Below are 17,062 nucleotides of genomic sequence, written 5' to 3' on the forward strand. Positions count from 1 at the left end.
GTGAGTCAGTTAAACCTCTTTCCTTTACAAACTACCCAGTCTTGGGCAGTTCTTTATAGCAGCGTGAGAATGGACTAATACACGTATCTTTAAGTTTTCTGTGGTGAAGATTAAGCATGGCAGACACAGAGTATGTACCCAATAAATAATAGGTATAATTGTGCTCATCCACACTCTCATCAATTACCTGGCAAAAATTCTATTCAAGGGCTAGGACTCTGCTACTCCACTCCAATCCTCTTCAGTTCCACTATGTTTACCTCAGTTCCCCAACCAAATGGGTAACAGCTGGTTTTGCATGAAAGTGAGCAACTATGGAGGCAGAGGATTGTCTCCTCACGTACTCGGGATGAATTCTACCCCGAGGCACCACACCCTTGTTGGGCCAACTGCACAGAATTCTGTGCATGCACGACTATCAAGTGTTTATCTATTGCCCCAGAAGCAAGCTTCTCTAAACCTGGTGCTTGTTTCTCTCCTATGCTTCCATCTCCTGTTGACCTCCCTTCCAATTCTTTCCAATGTGCCTCATGGAATTTTCATTCTGTTATGAGTAACCCTCTGTTGATCTCCTAGTTTTCATTAAACGTTGTCTGTGCTTCAAGAACACTGAATATCTTTTTGCTGTGTTAAATCCAAAGCTTAGTCATTGGTCCTCATCTTAGTTGAATCCTCAGTACTTTCGCTACTACCACCCTTGTACAAGCTGCTACCTTTTTTTTTTTTTTGCCTGAAATGATACAGTAGTGTATAAACCAAGTATCTCTGCTTGCATCGTCATCTGCCTGTCATGTATGCTCAATGTAGTAACCACAGTGATCCTTATAAAAGTAAAGTCAGGTAAATGTCACTCCTTGGCTACTTCAGGTCAGGGACCATGTCATTTTTTTTTTTCCCTCTGTATCTCCAGGGCTTATCGCTGAAACTTAGCAGGCACTCAGTAAATATTTTGCTAAGCAGTTAAAACTAAGAGAAGAAAGAGGAGGGAGAAATATGGTAATCACTTACCACATCCTCTTTTAACCTCTTGAATATCTTACCAATGTCTTCTTTTGTTCTTACTTTCACATCATTTGATTTGATAAAACAAAACTATTATCTAGAGAGGTAAGGCAGACTTGTGAACTGGACCCGTAGAAGTTAAGTGATGTCCCTGTTTGCAGTGTCAATGAGATTGAGGGCTTGGGCTTGAACCCAACCTTCTCCCTCCAAATAGCCTGCTCTTTCTGTTATGTCATGTTTCATATACAAGTTTGGGAGCCTCCAGCCCTGACTATCCCAACATATACAACATAATGTATATGTTGTCTTTGGAAATATCTTCTGTGAAGGCCAAGCATTTAATATTACAGGAAACCTTGAAGTGGATATGGAAGCTTGGCAGCCAGCTTGGATCTTCCTAAGAGCCTCTTTCCTTCATACCATCTTCAGAGTACGTATCATTCAATAGAGACTCTCTTGCACAGGAATTATTATTATATGCTTGCAAATAGTCTCAACCAAAATCTTTAACCTGGAAATGAAGATGGGCTACTGTCTAGGAAGCCTCTGATTTTGTTATTGGTTTTTATTATCATGTTAGGTTTGTATATTAAGGAGAAAAATTGGCAGAGAGCATCTAACCTATTAAAATTAGATATTCAAAGAAATTTAGTTTTGGGGGGTCTGAATTGATAATATAACATATGGAAGTTAAAATTCTAGAAGCTATGTTTACTATATGATTTCATGGTGTAACAAGATCTGGGAGTAACATAAACTAATCTACCTTCCCTTGTAAACAATCATCTTCCTTCCAAGTCTTGCTGGCAGAGGAAGAGGTTGTGGGACAGTGTGGGAAGAAGGAGGGAGTCAGAGTTAATTTCATTATGTGCTTCCTAAAGAATGGGTTATTCAACAAAAACACTAGTAACAACAGCAACAATGAAACTCCACCTCTCTGAAGTGTATAGAAGATTAATATGATATTTAAGTACATTTTAAATAGATTTTCTATTTCCAAATTGATAACTGTGGTCATGTAAACTTTCATGATCCTTTGCGGCTGACTCTCTTGTATGTCCATTTGGCAGTCTCAGTTTCTGCTACATTAATTTGACCTTGATAATTTATTCATTCATATATGTTTGTATTATTTCTTGAACCAGATTACTATAAGAAACTGTCTTGTTCTTGTCATATCTTTTTCCATGCTCTCACACCTCTAAATAATTATCTAAACCTAAAAAAGGATAAGTACTTTTTAGAAATTTACTTTACATTCAAAGTAGAGTGTCTTATCTAGGTTTGACAGTTTTTACACTCTGAAAATTGAAACTATATCAACAAAAGTAATTTTATACACTGTCCCAAGCTTTTAAGAAAGTGATAAATATACACTGTATATGACATTGAAGTACATTTTGAATAGCTTTTCTATTTCTATCTTGATAATTATGTGGTCCCACGTAGGTCAACAACAACAAAAAAGTGTTGGGCCATCCCATGTAGGTTGACAACAACAAAAAAGTGATAGGTATACAGTGATCTTTATACCTATCAAATTTTGTTGATCTTATTTATTTATTATTATTATTATTTTCTGAGACAGAGTCTTGCTCTGTCGCCCAGGCTGGAGTGCAGTGGCGTGATCTCAGCTCACTGCAACCTCCGCCTCCTGGGTTCAAGTGATTCTCTTGCCTCAGCCTCCCGAGTAGCTGGGACTACAGGCGCGTTCCACCATGCCTGGCTAATTTTTTGTATTTTGTAGAGACAGGATTTCACCATGTTAGCCAGGATGGTCTTGATCTCCTGAACTTGTGATCTGCCTACCTTGGCCTCCCAAAGTGTTGGGATTACAAGCGTGAGCCACCGCGCCTGGCCTGATCTTATTTTATAAAGATACACTGTATACCTATAACTTTTTTGTTGTTGTCGGCCTACATGGGATGACACCAGAACTTTTTACTTTTTTGCGACTTCTTCAGGGCCCTTCTGATCATACTGATTCCATGGTCCAGCAGCCCTGACCTGCTCCATCCACTATGTGCCCTGAAATGCATACCTGTGGTGGGAAACTCCCAACAGGAGCTTATGTCACATATACGTGGCCAGAAAAACACGAGAGTGCCTCGGGACAAGTATTTCACGAGCAATGGAAAAAAGTCATTTTGTTACCAGTTCTTCCAGAAGCATATTCACCCATGCAGATTCATAATCTGTAACACTTAAATACAATTTCTTTGTTTCTAATTACACATTGTAGTTTGGAGAAGCATGATAATATTCAATTAAAAGTAACTCATGAATTGTTTGTAGAAATCCCCGAGATGACTAAATATTCTATATGAAGACAGATGAATGAAATAATTTTAATCTCAAATCTAGAATATACTTTTTAGAATTAAAGAGCAGAGGGTCTTTTATAATAAGGCAACTTGTCACCTTATGGACATCTTCAGATCATCATATGATAAGAATGTTTAATAATATTAAAAAGTGGCATTCCAATAAATAACATGGTAATATTGCGGGATACAAGCTTAATATACAAAAATCATTTGCTTTCTATATACCAGAAATGAACAATTGGAATTTGAAATAAAAAACACAATGCCATTTACATTAGCAACAACAACAAAATGACATACTTTGATATAAATCTACCAAAATATCTACAAGTTCTATATGAAGAAAACCACAACACTGATGAAAGTATCAGTATTGGCTCATTAATTGTAACCAATATACCACAGTATTGCAAGATGTTGATAATAGGAGGATAACAGGTAGGGAGGGGATAGATGGGAACTCTCAGTACTTCCTGTTCAATTTTTTGGTAAACATAAAACAGCTTAAAAAATAAAGTCTATTAAAAATAAGTGCCATCCATGGAATACATATAGAAAAATGCTGCTACATTAAATATTACCTATAGATAAAAATGCATCCCAAGACACAGTACAGCATGTTCAGATGATTCTCTGTGAAGCAGCATAACACAGTGGGTAGAATTCAAATTTTAGAATCAGAAAGACCTGGATTCAAATCTGAACTCTAACTTGCAAAAACTGTGTGAATCTAAGCAAGTGGCTTAATTTTTTTCTGAACCATATTTTCATCATCTGTAAAGCTTGGATAAGAAGGACTACCTTACTTACATGAGATTATGTTTGCAAATCACATGAAACACTGTATGACACACTGTACCTGTCCAATAACTGATAATATCCAATCTTTAATGTATAAAGCTACACTTAAAAGCTGTCCATATTTTTAAAACCAACAGAATGAAGTCAGAAATAAGAAAGGTATTGGAGCAAAGGAAAAGTCATTATGCAAGGAAGGACAAGTTATTCATTCGTTTGGCTATACATACATTTGGAGACCATTCAGTAGATTCACTTACCTACATTTTGTAGGTTTTGCCACTCTTACCTCTTATTCGGAAAAAAAAAAAGCTTCGGAGATCTCTTTCCAAATCTCTTTTGCCTGCTGAAGACCATTATATGTATCGATACCTCATATTTTGGAATTTATGGAAAGGTCTTTTTCTTTTATTTAAAATTTATAAAAAGGTATACATTTACTGTATGTAATGATAGAATCTTAGAGATAGTTCTGAAGTCCTCTTCTGAGTACTCACTCTCTATCTACCTATCTATCTATCTAACTATCTATCCTCTATGTGTATATATTTTTATCTTAAAATGTGACATAACACAGTCTGGATGCAAGAAACCAAAATGGACTCAGTGGTCACTTGCTTTCTGGTTTTTGATGAGACAGTTTCTGGGAGTGTTTGTCAACTCGTGAAGGCAGATGTATCCAGAGGTTTGAGGGTCATAGATGATGTTTGTAACCTCGTTGATGTAAGCAAAAATTGGGCTTTGACTGCCCTTGTTTGGATACTTGATATAAATTACCAAGGCATTAAATTCACGTTAACAAGTACATGCAGGTGCTATTTGTAGTAGGTGCCAGTAAGGAAACCAGAAAACATGGTTTATGTTAAATGAGATAACATGTGTCAAGAGTTTATCTAAGTTATTCTGTATAGCAAGTATTCAATCAGTGCTATAATTTATTTTCTGCACTTCCCTATGTTTATTTTAAAAGTTTACTTTTTATCACACAGCTTTATGCCATGAAGTGATTGAATATCTCAATTTCCTCATTATAATAGACAGGGGAGAAATCAAAGAAGAAGATAGTTACAAAATATCTTTGACTAAAATATGTACATCTGCTGTTGTGGATGGCCTCCCCCTCACTCTAACTATAAAAATAAAATACTACAGAAAAATGAGATAAGATCTTTATATGTTAATAGCAATTTATTTCTATTTACACTTGCTTTTTATAATTATCAAAAGCTATACTTTCATGAGGAGTATTTCTCTCCTTTGAAGTATGTAAGACATATCCAGAAAGTAGATTTAAAAAGCCATGCAAACTTATTTTCATTTCCTTAAATATTATTACCCTGGCATTTTGTTTTAAATTAAAATTCATAATAACATATATGACAGCATCTTAATGGAGGATCAGCAGTGGAATTTGGATATACACACATTTACTTTCATTCTCAGGTACCGAATTTTTATTTTTTAATTTTTTTATTTTTTTAGTTTATTTTTTTTATTTTTATTTTTTTTTATTATACTTTAAGTTTTAGGGTACATGTGCACAATGTGCAGGTTAGTTACATATGTATACATGTGCCATGCTGGTGCGCTGCACCCACTAACTCGTCATCTAGCATTAGGTATATCTCCCAATGCTGTCCCTCCCCGCTCCCCCAACCCACAACAGTCCCCAGAGTGTGACGTTCCCCTTCCTGTGTCCATGTGTTCTCATTGTTCAATTCCCACCTATGAGTGAGAATATGCGGTGTTTGGTTTTTTGTTCTTGCGATAGTTTACTGAGAATGATGATTTCCAATTTCATCCATGTCCCTACAAAGGACATGAACTCATCATTTTTTATGGCTGCATAGTATTCCATGGTGTATATGTGCCACATTTTCTTAATCCAGTCTATCATTGTTGGACATTTGGGTTGGTTCCAAGTCTTTGCTATTGTGAATAATGCCGCAATAAACATACGTGTGCATGTGTCTTTATAGCAGCATGATTTATAGTCGTTTGGGTATATACCCAGTAATGGGATGGCTGGGTCAAATGGTATTTCTAGTTCTAGATCCCTGAGGAATCGCCACACTGACTTCCACAATGGTTGAACTAGTTTACAGTCCCACCAACAGTGTAAAAGTGTTCCTATTTCTCCACATCCTCTCCAGCACCTGTTGTTTCCTGACTTTTTAATGATTGCCATTCTAACTGGTGTGAGATGGTATCTCATTGTGGTTTTGATTTGCATGTCTCTGATGGCCAGTGATGGTGAGCATTTTTTCATGTGTTTTTTGGCTGCATAAATGTCTTCTTTTGAGAAGTGTCTATTCATGTCCTTCGCCCACTTTTTGATGGGGTTGTTTTTTTCTTGTAAATTTGTTTGAGTTCATTGTAGATTCTGGATATTAGCCCTTTGTCAGATGAGTAGGTTGTGAAAATTTTCTCCCATTTTGTAGGTTGCCTGTTCACTCTGATGGTAGTTTCTTTTGCTGTGCAGAAGCTCTTTAGTTTAATTAGATCCCATTTGTCAATTTTGTCTTTTGTTGCCATTGCTTTTGGTGTTTTAGACATGAAGTCCTTGCCCATGCCTATGTCCTGAATGGTAATGCCTAGGTTTTCTTCTAGGATTTTTATGGTTTTAGGTCTAACGTTTAAGTCTTTAATCCATCTTGAATTGATTTTTGTATAAGGTGTAAGGAAGGGATCCAGTTTCAGCTTTCTACATATGGCTAGCCAGTTTTCCCAGCACCATTTATTAAATAGGGAATCCTTTCCCCATTGCTTGTTTTTCTGAGGTTTGTCAAAGATCAGATAGTTGTAGATATGCGGCGTTATTTCTGAGGGCTCTGTTCTGTTCCATTGATCTATATCTCTGTTTTGGTACAAGTACCATGCTGTTTTGGTTACCGTAGCCTTGTAGTATAGTTTGAAGTCAGGTAGTGTGATGCCTCCAGCTTTGTTCTTTTGGCTCAGGATTGATTTGGCGACGCGGGCTCTTTTTTGGTTCCATATGAACTTTAAAGTAGTTTTTGCCAATTCTGCGAAGAAAGTCATTGGTAGCTTGACGGGGATGGCATTGAATCTGTAAATTACCTTGGGCAGTATGGCCATTTTCATGATATTGATTCTTCCTACCCATGAGCATGGAATGTTCTTCCATTTGTTTGTATCCTCGTTTATTTCCTTGAGCAGTGGTTTGTAGTTCTCCTTGAAGAGGTACTTCACATCCCTTGTAAGTTGGATTCCTAGGTATTTTATTCTCTTTGAAGCAATTGTGAATGGGAGTTCACTCATGATTTGGCTCTCTGTTTGTCTGTTGGTGTATAAGAATGCTTGTGATTTTTGTACATTCATTTTGTATGCTGAGACTTTGCTGAAGTTGCTTATCAGCTTAAGGAGATTTTGGGCTGAGACAATGGGGTTTTCTAGATATACAATCATGTGGTCTGCAAAGAGGGACAATTTGACTTCCTCTTTTCCTAATTGAATACCCTTTATTTCCTTCTCCTGCCTGATTGCCCTGGCCAGAACTTCCAACACTATGTTGAATAGGAGTGGTGAGAGAGGGCATCCCTGCCTTGTGCCAGTTTTCAAAGGGAATGCTTCCAGTCTTTGCCCATTCAGTATGATATTGGCTGTGGGTTTGTCATAGATAGCTCTTATTATTTTGAAATATGTCCCATCAATACCTAATTTATTGAGAGTTTTTAGCATGAAGGGTTGTTGAATTTTGTCAAAAGCTTTTTCTGCATCTATTGAGATAATCATGTGGTTTTTGTCTTTGGCTCTGTTTATATGCTGGATTACATTTATTGATTTGTGTATATTGAACCAGCCTTGCATCCCAGGGATGAAGCCCACTTGATCATGGTGGATAAGCTTTTTGATGTGCTGCTGGATTCGTTTTGCCAGTATTTTATTGAGGATTTTTGCATCAATGTTCATCAAGGATATTGGTCTAAAATTCTCTTTTTTGGTTGTGTCTCTGCCTGGCTTTGGTATCAGCATGATGCTGGCCTCATCAAATGAGTTAGGGAGGATTCCCTCTTTTTCTATTGATTGGAATAGTTTCAGAAGGAATGGTACCAGTTCCTCCTTGTACCTCTGGTAGAATTCGGCTGTGAATCCATCTGGTCCTGGACTCTTTTTGGTTGGTAAGCTATCGATTATTGCCACAATTTCAGATCCTGTTATTGGTCTATTCAGAGATTCAACTTCTTCCTGGTTTAGTCTTGGGAGAGTGTATGTGTCCAGGAATTTATCCATTTCTTCTAGATTTTCTAGTTTATTTGCATAGAGGTGTTTGTAGTATTCTCTGATGGTAGTTTGTATTTCTGTGGGATCAGTGGTGATATCCCCTTTATCATTTTTTATTGCGTCTACTTGATTCTTCTCTCTTTTTTTCTTTATTAGTCTTGCTAGCGGTCTGTCAATTTTGTTGATCCTTTCAAAAAACCAGCTCCTGGATTCATTAATTTTTTGAAGGGTTTTTTGTGTCTCTATTTCCTTCAGTTCTGCTCTGATTTTAGTTATTTCTTGCCTTCTGCTAGCTTTTGAATGTGTTTGCTCTTGCTTTTCTAGTTCTTTTACTTGTGATGTTAGGGTGTCAATTTTGGATCTTTCCTGCTTTCTCTTGTGGGCATTTAGTGCTATAAATTTCCCTCTACACACTGCTTTGAATGCGTCCCAGAGATTCTGGTATGTTGTGTCTTTGTTCTCGTTGGTTTCAAAGAACATCTTTATTTCTGCCTTCATTTCGTTATGTACCCAGTAGTCATTCAGGAGCAGGTTGTTCATTTTCCATGTAGTTGAGCCGTTTTGAGTGAGATTCTTAATCCTGAGTCCTAGTTTGATTGCACTGTGGTCTGAGAGATAGTTTGTTATAATTTCTGTTCTTTTACATTTGCTGAGGAGAGCTTTACTTCCCAGTATGTGGTCAATTTTGGAATAGGTGTGGTGTGGTGCTGAAAAAAATGTATATTCTGTTGATTTGGGGTGGAGAGTTCTGTAGATGTCTATTAGGTCTGCTTGGTGCAGAGCTGAGTTCAATTCCTGGGTATCCTTGTTGACTTTCTGTCTCGTTGATCTGTCTAATGTTGACAGTGGGGTGTTAAAGTCTCCCATTATTAATGTGTGGGAGTCTAAGTCTCTTTGTAGGTCACTCAGGACTTGCTTTATGAATCTTGGTGCTCCTGTATTGGGTGCATATATATTTAGGATAGTTAGCTCTTCTTGTTGAATTGATCCCTTTACCATTATGTAATGGCCTTCTTTGTCTCTTTTGATCTTTGTTGGTTTAAAGTCTGTTTTATCAGAGACTAGGATTGCAACCCCTGCCTTTTTTTTTGCTTTCCATTTGCTTGGTAGATCTTCCTCCATCCTTTTATTTTGAGCCTATGTGTGTCTCTGCACGTGAGATGGGTCTCCTGAATACAGCACACTGATGGGTCTTGACTCTTTATCCAATTTGCCAGTCTGTGTCTTTTAATTGGAGCATTTAGTCCATTTACATTTAAAGTTAATAGTGTTATGTGTGAATTTGATCCTGTCATTATGATGTTAGCTGGTTATTTTGCTCGTTAGTTGATGCAGTTTCTTCCTAGTCTCGATGGTCTTTACATTTTGGCACGATTTTGCAGCGGCTGGTACCGGTTGTTCTTTTCCATGTTTAGTGCTTCCTTCAGGAGCTCTTGTAAGGCAGGCCTGGTGGTGACAAAGTCTCTCAGCATTTGCTTGTCTGTAAATTATTTTATTTTTCCTTCACTTATGAAGCTTAGTTTGGCTGGATATGAAGTTCTGGGTTGAAAATTCTTTTCTTTAAGAATGTTGAATATTGGCCCCCACTCTCTTCTGGCTTGTAGGGTTTCTGCCGAGAGATCCGCTGTTAGTCTGATGGGCTTCCCTTTGAGGGTAACCCGACCTTTCTCTCTGGCTGCCCTTAACATTTTTTCCTTCATTTCAACTTTGGTGAATCTGACAATTATGTGTCTTGGAGTTGCTCTTCTCGAGGAGTATCTTTGTGGCGTTCTCTGTATTTCCTGAATCTGAACGTTGGCCTGCCTTGCTAGATTGGGGAAGTTCTCCTGGATAATATCCTGCAGAGTGTTTTCCAACTTGGTTCCATTCTCCCCATCACTTTCAGGTACACCAATCAGACGTAGATTTGGTCTTTTCACATAGTCCCATATTTCTTGGAGGCTTTGCTCGTTTCTTTTTATTCTTTTTTCTCTAAACTTCCCTTCTCGCTTCATTTCATTCATTTCATCTTCCATTGCTGATACCCTTTCTTCCAGTTGATCGCATCGGCTCCTGAGGCTTCTGCATTCTTCACGTAGTTCTCGAGCCTTGGTTTTCAGCTCCATCAGCTTCTTTAAGCACTTCTCTGTATTGGTTATTCTAGTTATACATTCTTCTAAATTTTTTTCAAAGTTTTCAACTTCTTTGCCTTTGGTTTGAATGTCCTCCCATAGCTCAGAGTAATTTGATCGTCTGAAGCCTTCTTCTCTCAGCTCGTCAAAGTCATTCTCCATCCAGCTTTGTTCCGTTGCTGGTGAGGAACTGCGTTCCTTTGGAGGAGGAGAGGCGCTCTGCTTTTTAGAGTTTCCAGTGTTTCTGCTCTGTTTTTTCCCCATCTTTGTGGTTTTATCTACTTTTGGTCTTTGATGATGGTGATGTACAGATGGGTTTTTGGTGTGGATGTCCTTTCTGTTTGTTAGTTTTCCTTCTAACAGACAGGACCCTCAGCTGCAGGTCTGTTGGAGTACCCAGCCATGTGAGGTGTCAGTGTGCCCCTGCTGGGGGGTGCCTCCCAGTTAGGCTGCCCGGGGGTCAGGGGTCAGGGACCCACTTGAGGAGGCAGTCTGCCCATTCTCAGATCTCCAGCTGCGTACTGGGAGAACCACTGCTCTCTTCAAAGCTGTCAGACAGGGACATTTAAGTCTGCAGAGGTTACTGCTGTCTTTTTGTTTGTCTGTGCCCTGCCCCCAGAGGTGGAGCCTACAGAGGCAGGCAGGCCTCCTTGAGCTGTGGTGGGCTCCACCCAGTTCGAGCTTCTGGGCTGCTTTGTTTACCTAATCAAACCTGGGCAATGGCGGGCGCCCCTCCCCCAGCCTCGCTGCCGCTGCTGCCTTGCAGTTTGATCTCAGACTGCTGTGCTAGCAATCAGCGAGACTCCGTGGGCGTAGGACCCTCCAAGCCAGGTGCCGGATATAATCTCGTGGTGCGCCGTTTTTTAAGCCCGTCGGAAAAGCGCAGTATTCGGGTGGGAGTGACCCGATTTTCCAGGTGCCGTCCGTCACCCCTTTCTTTGACTCAGAAAGGGAACTCCCTGACCCCTTCCCAAGTGAGGCAATGCCTCGCCCTGCTTCGGCTCGCGCACGGTGCATGCACCCACTGACCTGCGCCCACTGTCTGGCACTCCGTAGTGAGATGAACCCGGTACCTCAGATGGAAATGCAGAAATCACCGTCTTCTGCGTCGCTCACGCTTGGAGCTGTAGACCGGAGCTGTTCCTATTTGGCCATCTTGGCTCCTCCCCCCAGGTACCGAATTTTTAAAGTAGGAATATTAAAAGCTCTTCTGCCCACTCTGTGGAGTGTTATTGGAGAGTTAAATTTTAAAAGTTCTGTATTTGCATGATCATTACTTAATTCCCCCTCAAACATAAAATGTTTGTTAATGATGTTACTACTTACAGGAAGTATAGATCAGTTGAATAGTCAAATTTTATAGAAGGTAGATTTAATCTTGTAAGATGGACTTTTATTTCTGAAATGAGTTTACATGTCCCTGAATTTTCTTTGACATGTGTATTAGTCTGTCTTCATGCTGCTGATAAAGACATATCTGTGACCTATTAATTCATAAAGAAAAAGAGGTTTAATGGACTCACAGTTCCATGGGCTGGGGAGGCCTCACAATCGTGGTGGAAGGCAAAAGCCATGTCTTACATGGTGGCAGGAGAGAGAGAATGAGAACCAAGTGAAAGAGGAAACCCCTTATAAAACCATCAGATCTCATTAGACTTATTCACTACCACAAGAATAGTATGTGGGAAACTATTCCCATGATTCAATTATCTCCCACTGGGTCCCTCCCACAATACATGGGAATTACGGGAGCTACAATTCAAGATGAGATTTGGGTGAGGACATAGCCAAATGATATCAACACACACGTGTTTATATGAGACGTAACAAAGTCATGAGGCTAGTTTCTTTGTGAGTTTTAATTCTTTAATATGCTCATCCAATAAACTCTCAATTGTTTAGTAGGTGTAGGGCTTGAGCATCCTGCCCAAGGATACTGGGGATACAAGGGGAAAGAAGGCGTGGCCCTATTTTTAAGAAGCTCACAGTCTAAAGTGAGCTGAACATGCAGAGACATATTACAGCAAGGTGAGGCTATCAGAGCCACGTGTACATAGAATTTCTGGGCACTCGGGGAAGTTGCCTCTCACTGCCACCCACTGCAGAGCCCTGATGAATCTTCATTTGGTGGCAGTGAGAGCACTTTTCTTTTCTTTTACTTTAAGTTCTAGGATACATATGCAGAACGTGCAGGATTGTTACATAGGTATACATGTGCCATGGTGGGTTGCTGCACTATCAACCTATCATCTAGGTTTTAAGCCCTGTAGGCATTAGATATTTGTCCTAATGCTCTCCCTCCCCTTGTCCCCCACCCCTGACAGGCCCCGGTGTGTGATATTCCCCTCCCTGTGTCCATGTGTTCTCATTGTTCAACTCCCACTTATGAGTGAGAACATGCGGTGTTTGGTTTTCTGTTCCTGTGTTAGTTTGCTGAGAGTGATGGTTTCCAGCTTTATCCATGTCCCTGCAAAGGACATGAATTCATTTTTTTTATGGCTGCATAGTATTCCATGGTGTATATGTGCCACATTTTCTTTATTCAGTCTATCATTGATGGGCATTTGGGTTGGTTCTAAGTCTTTGCTATTGTGAATAGTGCTACAATAAACATATGTGTGCATGTGTCTTTATAGTAGGATGATTTATAATCCTTTGGGTATATGCCCAGTAGTGGAATTGCTGGTTCAAATGGTATTCCTGGTTCTAGATCCTTGAGGAATTGTCACACTGTTTTCCACAATGGTTGAGCTAATTTACACTCTCCCCAACAGTGTAAAAGCATTGCTACTTCTCCACATCCTCTCCAGCATCTGTTGTTTCCTGACTTTTTAATGGTCGCCATTCTAACTGGCATGAGATGGTATCTCATTGTGGTTTTGATTTGCGTTTCTCTAATGACTAATGATGATGAACATTTTATTCATATGTTTGTTGGCCATGAGAGGACATTCTTTAAGGAGGTATCATTTGTCCTGGGTTTTGAAATGCAGTTAAGGGTTCCACAATTGGAATAGGGTCCATACTAAGAAGGGCATTCTAAGCAATGGGAACAGAGTGTATAGGCAATGTGGAGGAGGCCCGACACTAGCACACAATTTTGAAATTGTGGACTCAATATGTGCAAAAGACAATTGTGATCTGTCTCACTTGTTTTAATGAACATATGTTGGGGTTAGAAAAACTGAATTTGCTTGCTTTTACTAATATGAGTATCGGAAACATCTACTACAGGATGTTTACCAAATGAATCATTATCACAGTTCCTGCTGTGGTTGAATTTTTTGTTTTTAACCTCAAACCTTTAGAGTGAAAAGTGTCACTTATATTCCCACAGTTGACTCTTCAGTAATTGTTAAGAATATCATCTTTGGTAATTGTTAAGAATTTCATCTTTCACCTGGACTTCCCTCCAGTCTTTGATCCATATGTCACTTTGTTACTAGAGGTATCATGATGTAGCTTAGTCTTTTATTTATAAACTACAGATGATCCTGATGTTCCACTACCTAAAACATTCAGGGGCTCCCCATAGTCTACTGAAGTAAGTCTTATTGTGGCATGAAGAACATGAGCTGGCTCCAATAATTCTTTTGAACTTCCCTCCAAACTTATCACTTTCTACTTTCAAGCAGGTCCACCAAGCTTACACCATCACAAGTTGCAGACAGGGACAGAGGGAAGAGGATGAGACCGTTGAGGTAATTAGGTAGGAATCAGATGATGGAGAATTGCAAGTGTTGTACTAAGAAGTCTTGGTTTTATTCTGCATTCATGATACTTCTCAAACATTTCATCTAAAGTGTTCCAAAGGGGTAAGAAGAATATCTGCCCTCCACTGTGGGTTTTGGGGGCATAGCCTGAAGTGGGCCATCACAAATGAAAAATGTATTTATAGTATCCCTTCATATTTTTTGGATTCTAATGTGTATTGTCCTACTCCTTTTAATGCTAGGACAATTTTTCAACTTATTGCTACCAAGTAAAATTGAATTTCAAAAACAAGATGTTATCCTGAGTTTTGAATTCCCCCAGCACATTACCAGGCCTCCTGAGCAATGTGTATTCCAAATTGAGAAGCACTTTTTGGTAATAGGGAACCACTGGTGGATTTTAAGATGGTGACAGCAGCAACAAACATATGACTAAATGATTCAAACTTACAAAAAGATAGATTAACATATTTAGGATTTGGAAAAGTCACTCTGATGACTCTGATGGTAGCCCTGGAAGAGGGATTAGAGGCATGAGAATAGAAGAGGAAGAATCAGCAGGTCAGAGTACCAGTTGGATGGCTAGAGAAGCTATCAAGGAAAATTTCCAGTTCTTTGTTTTGGTATTTGGGTAGCCAGTATTATTATTTATTGAGACAGATACAAGAAAAGAAGAAGGTTTTCAATTTTGAACATGAACGTTTGTGATGAATTTGGGACATACAGGTGAGACATTTGGTAGGAAGCTGTATATCAGGTTTGAAGAATGGGAGATAAGTTTATCTATCTATCTATCTATCTATCTATCTATCTATCTATCTATCTATCATCTACAACATTTTGGTATTAAAAGTCTGAAAGTGGAAATTAAAGCTATGGGAGTAGATGAAATTGCTAGGAAAGTAATATAGGATCAGAGAGAGAAATTGTTGCATGGAAAAATGAGACAGGTTTTAAAACAAAGCAGATCTAGTAGGAGGAAAATAAAGACCTGTGAAGGAATGTTAACATTGTAAATGAATTTAGAAACCTCCTAACAGATTTTCTCATTTGATAGATTAAAAAGTTGAGGCTTAAAAACAGGAAATGATTGCTCTGAGAACCTTGTTTTATTTTCTCATTTCTGGCTGAGAGTTCTTACCATATTTTATTGACCTTATTTTATACATAAAATTTGTTGTTTTATGAACCTTGTATCCACTGTGGAACATAGCAAAGTGTTTCACTAAGGATAGTCACCTAATACAGTTTTTCAAAGAAAGACCTGAATTACTTAACCACTTACCTCTTGTAAATAAGAGGGGACAACAACTTAGTTTTGAACAGACAAAGTTAACGTGGAAGACTAATACTAGAATTTTAAAAAATCATAGTAACTGTATGTTAAAGTATCAATGAAAAACTAAATTGATCGCATGGCAAAGCTGAGTTTCAGTAACTTTTCCCCAGACACTAGTAGAAGGGTTATTGTTGGTAATCAAAACTTCTTTCCTTGCACCTAAAGGTCTTTTTCTCAAGCCCTCTTCAATGTCAGTGTGCCAATTCTCTGGCTTTGACACGACACCCAAGTGTGCCTTCCCCAAATGCCTATGCTTCAACATCATTCCTAGAACTCTAGTTATATATATCAGAATAGACAGTCAACAATTTCAGATCGGCTTCTGTTAAAAGTGGATACGTGCTGTTTTAAATGGATGACGCACTTATGACAGGGCTACCTGGTACTAGGGTTTGATCAAATTCTGTTTGGGAATTGCAGGATGAACTAGGAATAGCACATTCTTGTACTCAGAGTGTCAGAAGGTGGGTGGCTCCCATTGAAGACAGCCCATTTTCTACCCTACTTTTCTGTCTTTTAGGAAGGAGAAGCTAAAGTATTTAGAATGTTGCCTCGGCTTATTCCTCAGGCATAAAATGCAGTGGGCTCAGTTATTTGCTCTTGTTTTTTGAGGAATTATTAGGTTGAATAAGGCAGCATTTGCCTTTTTAAAATACAGGGGAACCACTCTGTGCTTCTGAGAAAATAGAAAGTGGCCCCCTGCCAGCTTACTGGCTTGGTGGGTGGAAAAAATAACACAGACCAATGTGAGGAACACATCAACTCTCTCTCCTCCGACATGAACCCGTGATGCCTCTCCAGAAACACCGGACAGATGGCAAAGATCACCTCAGTGGCGTTTCCATCAGAAATCCAAGTCTTTGTGCAGGAAGCCTCCAAGGAGAGAGGATCTCTGCACACTTATGCACGTGTGCATTTAGAAGTCAGAGGGCTGTGGCTGTGACTTGCCTCTGTGTGCGGCACGGATGAGAAAGCACATCTGACTCGATGCTAATGACAGTGGCTCATGGTGTTAAAAAAGATGAGGGAGGGTCAGAGGAGTTAATTACTTATGGTGAAAAATCTGAATGCTCAGAGGAATTAACTGGTATGCTGTAATTAATTTAAAAAGAGACTTTTAGTTGAAAAATATGATCATAATATAGACATCAGTAGTTTGAATTCCATCCATAGTTACTACATTCTGTGAAAACGATCTTATTGTACTAATAATGAATTTTGAAGCAGTAAGCTTCTTTTTTTTCGACCAGATTTCAAAGAAAATAAATTGAGGGTGCAGAAAAGACAAAGCAGAGAAAACAATATCTTTGATATCTTGTTTCTTACATTGCAGTCAAATGAATACCTGTATCACAAACGCTCTTGATGATGAAGATGGGTTCAGATTGTTTTGAACCAAAAAGACAATACAAGATGAAATAATTTCCTTGTTTTTACAGATCTGATGGTGTGCAGGGGTGACATGGACTAAATAGCAGCATTTTGCTGTAATAATAACTCTTTGAAAAAAATACCAGCCACACATGGGCA

The 17,062-nt window shown here is 38.9% G+C and overlaps 1 protein-coding gene and 1 long non-coding RNA gene across 3 annotated transcripts in view, besides 1 other annotated feature; one reads left to right on the forward strand and one right to left on the reverse strand.

Annotated features, from left to right (window-relative positions):
- KLF12 (KLF transcription factor 12) overlaps nucleotides 1–17,062 on the reverse strand; it is a 619,957-nt gene that overhangs the window by 544,232 nt on the left and 58,663 nt on the right. The window lies entirely within an intron of this gene.
- LINC00402 (long intergenic non-protein coding RNA 402) overlaps nucleotides 1,124–17,062 on the forward strand; it is a 28,533-nt gene continuing 12,594 nt past the window's right edge. Inside the window, exon 1 of the long non-coding RNA NR_144451.1 lies at nucleotides 1,124–1,432. This is a non-coding gene — a long non-coding RNA (long intergenic non-protein coding RNA 402). The remainder of the gene's footprint in view (nucleotides 1,433–17,062) is intronic.
- Nucleotides 10,866–11,419: an enhancer, noted in NCBI's record as "NANOG-H3K27ac-H3K4me1 hESC enhancer chr13:74815323-74815876 (GRCh37/hg19 assembly coordinates)". NCBI's record gives its function as "activates a minimal SCP1, AML or CMV promoter by ChIP-STARR-seq in primed H9 embryonic stem cells {active_cell/tissue: H9 hESC(primed)}" and the evidence as "EXISTENCE:reporter gene assay evidence [ECO:0000049][PMID:30033119]".

This window comes from Homo sapiens, chromosome 13 (assembly GCF_000001405.40).
Source record: "Homo sapiens chromosome 13, GRCh38.p14 Primary Assembly".
Lineage (NCBI taxonomy): Eukaryota > Metazoa > Chordata > Mammalia > Primates > Hominidae > Homo > Homo sapiens.